Here is a 9,157-nt window from a genome sequence, read left to right as displayed (position 1 = left end):
ACTACAACAAAAACAGTGCTTCTTAGTATATTCACAAAGTTATGCAAACATCATAACTTTTTTTACCTATTAAAACATACTTTCTTAATAGGTAAAATTTTATGATATGTATTTTATGGTATTTTTCAATGCAACATTAATCTAAAATTCAAACAACATAATCTATCAATATATTAGTACATTTAAATAATTTGCAGATAGATCTACATTGTTACAGTGTATACAAAATAAATTTTACTGATGGAGTGAGTGTAGGATCAATGAATTATATCTCATTACTTTCAAGGAAATGTGCAGAGCCCTAAGACAAAGTAACAGGTTACCCCTGGTCGAGAAAATCCTTACCTGCCAGCCTTCTCAGTGCTGCCTCTACAATCTTTGTTTCAATGTGGTGCTTTTATTCACTTGCTTCCACTGCTTCACAAGCCTGAAGTTTGTTTCTACTCTAAGAGAAAGTGCGTGTAAGCTCTTGGCAGCACTGAATTTTTGCCTTTGTCTCTAGGTCACCTGAAAGTCTCTGAGATCTGTTACCTAATTCTCTACCTATGCAATTGGATTTGTTTTACCTAATCTCTGTCACATCTTTGATTCTTGCATTTGCCAATTCGATTTATGATTACTGATTAGCCAATATACTATTTCCTATCTGATGTTCAGCTCTATTTTTGGATCACATTAGCCCATCTGTTTACACATTCTTCCTGTCTACCTTTAGTTTCTATACGCCCTGGCTCACTCTCTGCTATTGAGCTCAGTGGTCTTCAAGCCTCTTTATCCTGCTCTCATTCCATCAGTAAAATTTGTTTTGTATACACTGTAACAACGTAAATCTATCTGTAAATTGTTTAAATGTACTAATATATTGATATATTGTTTGGATTTTAAATTATCTAATGCTGCATTAAAAAACCCACAAAACTTAATAGCATAAAACAACAAACTTTTTTTTTATGCTCATGTACTCTGAGTCAGAAATGTGGACAGAGGTTGTTTTGCATTGGTTCCATAATGGCTGGAGTTTCAACAGGAAATCTCAAATAGCTGAAAGTGACTCAAAATGCTGAAGTATGGGATCATCTGAAAGCTTCTCTGCTTACATGTCTGGTGCTTAGGCTGGGTTCACCTGGGATTTGTGATGGACCAGAGTGCCTACATGAGAACTCTCCTTGTAGGTTGGGCTCCCTCACAGCATGGGGATCTCAGGATGTTTGGACTCATTACATAGTGGTTCAGGGTTGCAAGAGCAAGTGTTCCAGTAAACAAGGTGAAGCCTGCATCACCTTTTATGACCTAGCCTTGAAAGTCACATAGCATCTCTTTGGCCACCCTCTATTTATACAAAAATTTAAATTCAAGGGGAGGGAACATAGACCCAAATCTTGATGAGAAAAATGTCAAATAACTATGGCTGTGTTTTAAAACTTTTGCATGTATTTTTACATTTACATGCAAACGAAAGATAAATTTTAAAGTATGAGATAAAAGTAAGTATTAGTATAAGTTATAATATTTAATTTTTGACCCACTGAATCAACTTACTTGCTCATTGATTATGGATACCATACTGGAGATTCATTGGTCTAAATGAGTGAGAGTTAACATTTTCTTGCTGAAGCTTTAAGCATGGTTAAAGTTCACATATGGGGCAACTCTCAGAGATACACCAGTTTTATGCACCATTCCCAGCACACTTGTTGCAATGCTACCACTTTCTCTCCTACTCTGTAATTTGTATAACAATTCAAGGAAGTGAAAATGACATTTTTATGAGAGTAGCCCTGATTCCATTCTGATTTAGTAACAATATGTATTAGTCATAGTCTGTTATGAATAAATTACTTGTATCACACGTCACGATTATGGCATATTGGTATAGTGACACAAGGATCAACAATTGTTATGTGAAGTGCTATTGCACAACTCTAATGTTGGCCTCCCTTGTCCTGCAATTCACCTCTTTGAAACAAAGTTTGCTCAAGACTGGGAGAATATTTAAGAATAAATATGAGAAGATAAGTAATATTTATTTGTAAATATCTGCTCCTCTGCAGTGTGATATAGCTCTTCCAGCTATTATAGTCATTTCCTATGCTGGTGACCCATGTTTCTCTCCTGGGTAGGTTCAAGGTGAGAGGACAGAACCCCTGCAGGGTAGCAAGAAGTAAACAAGATAGAGAATTTCACAATGAGAAAGTGAAGGGAGAGGTAACCATGGGGATATAAACCTTCTGTGGAACTTGTGGAAATCTTAGAGAGGGCAAGAAAATTTGCACAGAATTCAGTCTGGGGATTGAAGCCAACTTTGTAAATCTCAAAGGACACGATGTAATGTTTGGTAACAAAAACATGAAGCTAGTAAAAGTGTTGGCTGGCATTCAGCCAAGAGCCCAGTTCCCTCCAGTTCTTGTTGGCAAAGTAAAGAAGCCTGATTTGGCTGCCTGTAAAATGAGAGTAAAAGAATCTGCTACAGCAAAAATATGGCCAATGTATAACCTTATAAAGAAGTTTTAACAATTTAAAACAAAGCAATGATAGTTTCTAGCATCAACTGCTCTGCCTCATTCATTCCCCACCATCATACAACTTTCAACAGGAGAAGCATTATATCTCAAAAGAAATGCACACCAAGGGATGTGCAAGATGATCTACTGTAATATGTAAGGAAAATATGAGCACTTTTATTTATGTTTATTTTGTAATCCATGTTTTAAAATGTATGGATTGCATTAGTACAGAAGTGCATACATATCATTTATAAATAAATCTATTTTATAGACGGTATGTATAAGTTATTTTTTACTTATGAGCACTTGGAGTTTAAAATGTTCAATATCGTAGATTTAGATGATAAGGTGTGATTTGGGGGAACCCAGAAGCTAAAAGTACAGTTGAATCAGAACATGCCACAGGGTAGGCTAGAAGAGTCAAAGAATCTGCTAAGCTTTAGACAAATTATCAAGTACTTCTCTAGCTTTTCTGTATATAGCATGACAATTGCCTACAGAACTGTAATGAGTTGAGAAATACTAAGAAAAATTATGAAAATCTACTCACAGAGGATAAGACTCCTTATAATAATAAGTTGACACATGTGTCACTGCAACCTATAAATTCTGGCAGGGAAATATGGACACCACCCCGATCCCTCTAACTATGGCAGTTAATAAGATTTGAACTCACAATATTGTGTTTACATTAAAATAGGAGGAATTGACATTGTCAGACATTTTATGTATGTTAACCTATTTGATCCTCATGACAGCTCTGTAAAAAATGGTTAATATTTCTCCCACTTTACAGAAAATGAACCAGAGACTATGCACTTTGCAGAATGCCTCTCGGCTAGGAAGGGAAGAATCAAGATTCAAATCCAATTCTTTTGACCCCAAATGTCATGGCCTTGGACTGTTGCAATTATTCCTATCTAGACAAAAATAAAGAAGTTCTTTGAAGTTCTCAGATTTCTAAATGCTATTGTTTTCTCTGCATTTTTGGAGCAAAGGAGGGGCAGTGCCCACCGGTCTAATGTTTTGAAATGGGAAGAGGATGTTAATGTAATATTGAAATTCATATTAAAATTAGAAAGTAAGATCATTAAAAACTCTGCTCATAGCATTTAGTTGTTGACCCCTGAATGATTTGTGGAGCTTTCTTTGACATTCAGCAACTGAATGTTGAATTAGAGACATGTTAATTGGAAAAAGTTAATTGTCATCTCCATCTCATTAAACCAATTCTGTGGGACAATTCAAGAGAGTACATGGCTATGTAATTTCCACGCATCATTTGTTTGCTAAGTCACTTAGCCCTGGATACCATTTATTTTTCAATTCAGAGCTAAATACGTACATGATTAAAAGCTCGGTCTTCAAAAAGGGTTGATGTGGGTTTGATGGAAAGGGTCAGTCAGGGCCTTTTCTTAGCAGCAACCGCATTGGGCAGAGAGCACATCTTCCCAGAGTTTCTTAGCAGCAACCCCATTGGGCAGAGAGCACATCTTCCCAGAGTTTCTTAGCAGCAACCCCATTGGGCAGAGAGCACATCTTCCCAGAGTTTCTTAGCAGCAACCCCATTGGGCAGAGAGCACATCTTCCCAGAGGGTGTATGCACCTCAAAGCATGCTATTAAATGATAAGAAGGAGGAGGAAAATGCAATTTCTCTAGAATAACTTTTGCAACTACAGAAATATCATGCACAGGTGGATATGCAATTCTTTCCCATTCTTTCCTAAATGTACAATGCTGTGGCCTGTGATGAAATATTTGGAATATCTAAGGAACTGTGTCTCCTGGGAGTTGCAGATAATAACCCATTGCCTGCAATGATCATATTTCTATTGTCTGAAAAGGTGAGGAAAAACCATGAGGGCTCTACAGACGTGAGTGACTCAGTACAGTGGATTCGGAAACAAAACTACTAATCGGGTGCAAGAGAAAAGAGCAAATCTCAGTCAAAAAATTTCATGGTGGTGGGGATATGAGATACACTATGATATATTTGAGAATAGTTTTTTTAAAGGAAAAAGTAACAGGAAGTTTATATTTACCATGTAAAATTGTTTGATAAAATATATGAGTATTCCATTAAATATTCGTTGTATTTTATATACTTGATTCCTGTTTCAATGAGGTTAAATCAGCAAAAACATTTTTTAAAATTGAAGCATTAGTAAGCAAGTTAGAATAAAGCCACTCGGGCCAGTATGGAATTACCAAAGATGAGAAAAGATGATAGTGAGAGAGGCGTTTGTCCTCCAAGCCTGATTTATCATCTATCCTGAAGTATCTTCTGTAAAACATACTTGCTCTCTCCTCCCTTCCACTAGTCTTATTGAAACCTTTAGTTTTGCACTTCACTTCTTGATTCAGGAGCTTCCAAATCCTCTTGAAAATGGAGATTGTCCCAAGGGTCCATTGAGATGGTGTTTAACTACACTTACTGAGTGCCTTGTAACTTTTAGTCCCCTGGGATATGTTGTTAACTTGACCTTAATTAAACCAAAAAATTGATTGCTTATGTTCATCATTGTCTTATCTATACATTCTACTCATTTTCCAATTTCTGATTGAGCAAAAAATTGCTCTGAGTGCCATGCTACCCTGTCCTCCCCATTCTTTCTTTTTCTTTCTAATTGACTTCATTCCCTCCATCAGTAATATTTTTATTTCCCAAAATTTTTCATTCATAGAAATGTGTGGTGTCAGTTATTAGGCTCCTATTCTGTACCAGGCCCTAAGCCAGATGTTTTACAGTATTAATTTTAATCTCTAGCTGTATGGAGGCAGATTGGGAAGAAAAGGAACTATTATAGTATTTTCTCACTCTCAAGGTTTGCAATAAACATCACCTTCTTGGCTGCCAAATGATGAATATTACCTGCCAGCTACTGCAATGTATGAGAAATGGCTAGATTTAATTAGACAGAATCAAAGGACTGGAGGAGAGATTGAAAGCTGTCACTTCAAGTTTCTCAGCCTTTTGTGGATATGTATGTGTGCGTGTGTGTGCGCACGTCTGTGTGTGCATGCATGTGTGTGTGTGCGTGTGTATGTTATGTATGTACATATATAATATGTGCATATATAGAGAGCGTAGTCCAGTATACACTTTTATATATTCATCAGAAACAAAATGATAAAGATGCCCCCATTAAAAAAAATAAAACACATGTGATGATAAACTAGTGACTGACCTAACTTATTTTTTCCCCTTAACTCTAGTAATGCTTTTACATTATCATCTGGGCCTCTCATTCGCATGATTTCCAAAAAGTGAGCTATTTACATTTTCCAGGAATCAGTCTTGAGAAGGTTTAAGTCAGTGGCTTTCGGGGGAGTCCTCACTGGAGAACACCTTCAGGGATATATGTATGTATATCTGATTCACAGTGCAGTCTTCTCAGCTTTTCACTAGAATCTCTGGAAGAAACAGATAAAGGTGAAAATAATGCAAGAGAAAAACTGGGATGATGACCTTTCCCTAAGGCAGAAACTGTGAAAAAGGGACTCCCAAGAGGAGCAAAAGGACCCGGATGCCGTGCAATGGCCTTAGTGTGAAATGCAGAGGAGCTCAGTTTGTTTCTAAATGTTCTAAAATGTTTTGTTGGTTTTTTGCAACCCAAGTAAAGGTTTCTAAAATGTTCCACAATTAGAATTTCTTCCTGAAGCCTAATCTGAATTTATTGTGTTAAGATTTAGATCCATATTTTCTTGCTCAACTTTAACTATTTGAAAAAAATTCTTTAATGTCTGTACCTGAATTACTGTTGTTCTTTATGTTATTACTTTATGTGATTTAGAGTCCCTTGCCTGTATGTAAGTAATCTGATCTTTTAATTTTTTTGTTCTGTGTACATTTTTTGCCTCAATTTAATAGCTTTCTTGTTATTATCAATAATATTAAAAGTAATAGTTGTTGAGTATTAACTAGGTGGCAAGGACTGAAATATGATTTACATAAACTGTAGAGAGTAGTAGTGAAGAGTAAATGCTCTGGAATTTGAAATTCTATGTTTGAATTCTGCCCTTACCACTTAATACTGTGTGACCTTAAGCAAGATACTCCCTGTGTTTTAGTTTATTCATTTATTAAATTGCAATAAGGAATTGCAGGGGACTTCTGGTTCCAGCAACAATAGAATAATAGGGATCAGATTTATCTTTCCATCAGAAACAATAAAACCAACTGGATGAAATATATTAACTATGGTTTTCAAGACACTGGACATTAGACAAGCAAGAATGGCGATCCCAGAGAGACATGAAACCAAGGAGGTGAGTCGTTAAGTGGCCCCATTCTATGAATTTTTATGCCTTGGCAAAGAGAGGGAGAATCCCAGGGAAAGCCCAGAATATTCTGGCCTTAAGTTGAGGAGAAGGAGCTGTGTGTGGAGAGAACAAGTTGTCTACAGTTCTCTTGACAAAGTGTTGGAAACGGGAGAGCTGAATAGAGACAGCATTCCAGAAATATGCAAGGGGTGTCCTGTGGCTACTCAGCAGAGCAGTGATCGGCACTTGCTTCTATAGAGATTACCCGAGACCAAGGAAAGAATGAGTCAAAAGGATTAGAATGAACATCGTCTAACACTCACACAGGGCTGAGAACAGTGGCTGTACCAACTAGCCAGACTGGAGAACCTCAAAATTCATATAACATTGGATACAGTGCCTCAGTAGTAAAGAATAATTAACCTTCGACTAAGTATCCTATGGATTCACTTAACAAGTTATAAAAGCAAGACCTGAAAGGATTAAACTGTTTGTAAGTAACTTAACTCTCTTCTATAATAAAGCTACAGGACACATTTATAGTAATATATAAATATTAACACACGAAAGGATAAAATTTGCAATCAATGCCAGCTATCCAATAGAAAATTGCTAGGCTTAAAAGGAAACAGGAAAATAAGATTCACAATGAGAAGAAAAATCAATTACTTGAAAATAATCCAGAACTGACACAGATATTAGAATTAGCAGGCAAGGACATTAAGGCAGCTTCCATAGATTCAAAAAGATAAATAGAGAAATGAAAGATCAGATTACACATCTAAGAATGAAACCTATAATGTCTGAGATAAAAAATACACTGGATGAGATTAATAGCTGATTGAGCATTACAGAGTAAATTGTTAGAAAATGTGAAGACATAGCAATACAAACTATCCGAAATGAAATGCCAAGAGCTAAGGAACAACTTCACGTTGCTTACCTACACAAGTAAATAGAGATGCCAAAAGGCAGGGTTTTTAAAGAAACAAAACTGATATTTTTTCCCAATTTGATGAATAATGAAAAACCAAAGATCCAAGAAGTTCAATGAACACCAAAAAGAAGAAGAAGAAGAAGAAGAAGAGGAAGAAAAGGAAGAAGAAGAAGAAGAAGGAGAAGAAGAAGAAAGTATACCTGGGTACAGCTTGATCAAATTGCTCAAACTCGGTAATAATGAGAAAAATTTTTAAATAGCAAGAAAAAAAGATATCTATATAGATGAACAAAAATATTATTCTCAGAAAACAATGCAAGAGAGAAGACAAGGGAGCAACAGCTTGAAAATTCTGAAACCTTGCCCATTCTCCCCCCAAGCCTGTTAACTCAGAGTTCCAAATGCCCAGAAAAGAAACCATATTTTAAACACAAATATGAAATAATGAATTTTTTTCAAACACACAATAGTCGAAAGAATTCATCTCCAACAGATCTATGTTACAAGAAATCTTAATGGAAGTTTTCTTAACAAAAGAAAAATGACAGCAGGTAGAAATATAGACCCACAAAGAAATGAAAAACACTGGCAATGTTAACTATGTGGGTAAATATAAGCGAATTATTTTTCTTATTATTTAAATTGTATTAAAAGAAAATTTATTGTTTAAACAAAAATAATAATGTAGTGTGGGATTTATAACATAAGTAAAAATGTAACAATCAAGATTTGGGAGAGGAGATATGAAATGGTATATATGATTGTTAAGATTGTTAAACTCTATACTGACTATATTATCAGTTGATGGTAGAATGTGTTAAGTTAGAGATGCATGTTACAAACCCAAAAAAGACCACTAAGCAAATGCAACAAGAAATTATACCTAGTAAGCCAACAAAGGAGATAAAATCACAAAATACTTAATCCAAACAATGGAAAAAGGAAAAAGGGAGATGAGACAAATGCAAAATAAATAGCAAGGTGACAGACTTAAATCTAAGCATAACAGTAATTACATTGAATGCAAATGTTTCAAGCACTCCTACTAAAAAGCAAATGTACTATATTGGAAAATCATAAGGCCCCAATTTTATATTGTGTAAAACAAAATATAATTTAATGTAATAATAAACAAGTTAAAACTAAAAGAGTGAAAAAATATAAATATACTGTGCTCATTCTAAGCAAAAGAAAGCTGAAGAGATTATGTGAATATCAGAAAAAGGCATTTTTAGAGTAAAAAATATTACAGATATAAAGAAGATCATTTCACAATGATAAAGCAGTCAACACATCAAGAGGATGTAACAATCCTCATTGTTTATGCATTTAATAACAGAATTTGAAAATACATAAGTGAAAACCGATAGAACCATAGGAAAAAATGAGTAAATCCACAATTATAGTCAAATATGTCAATATGTCTCTCTCAACAAATGGTAGAACAAAACA

At 35.1% G+C, this 9,157-nt stretch overlaps 1 annotated feature.

The window, feature by feature from the left end:
• Nucleotides 1,632-1,926: a silencer, noted in NCBI's record as "tiled region #6433; K562 Repressive non-DNase unmatched - State 24:Quies". NCBI's record gives its function as "represses a minimal TATA promoter and a strong SV40 promoter by Sharpr-MPRA in K562 cells {active_cell/tissue: K562}" and the evidence as "EXISTENCE:reporter gene assay evidence [ECO:0000049][PMID:27701403]".

Source organism: Homo sapiens, chromosome 20 (assembly GCF_000001405.40).
Source record: "Homo sapiens chromosome 20, GRCh38.p14 Primary Assembly".
Classification (NCBI taxonomy): domain Eukaryota; kingdom Metazoa; phylum Chordata; class Mammalia; order Primates; family Hominidae; genus Homo; species Homo sapiens.
Note: the sequence above shows the minus strand (reverse complement) of the source record. Positions and strands in the feature narration are given on the sequence as shown.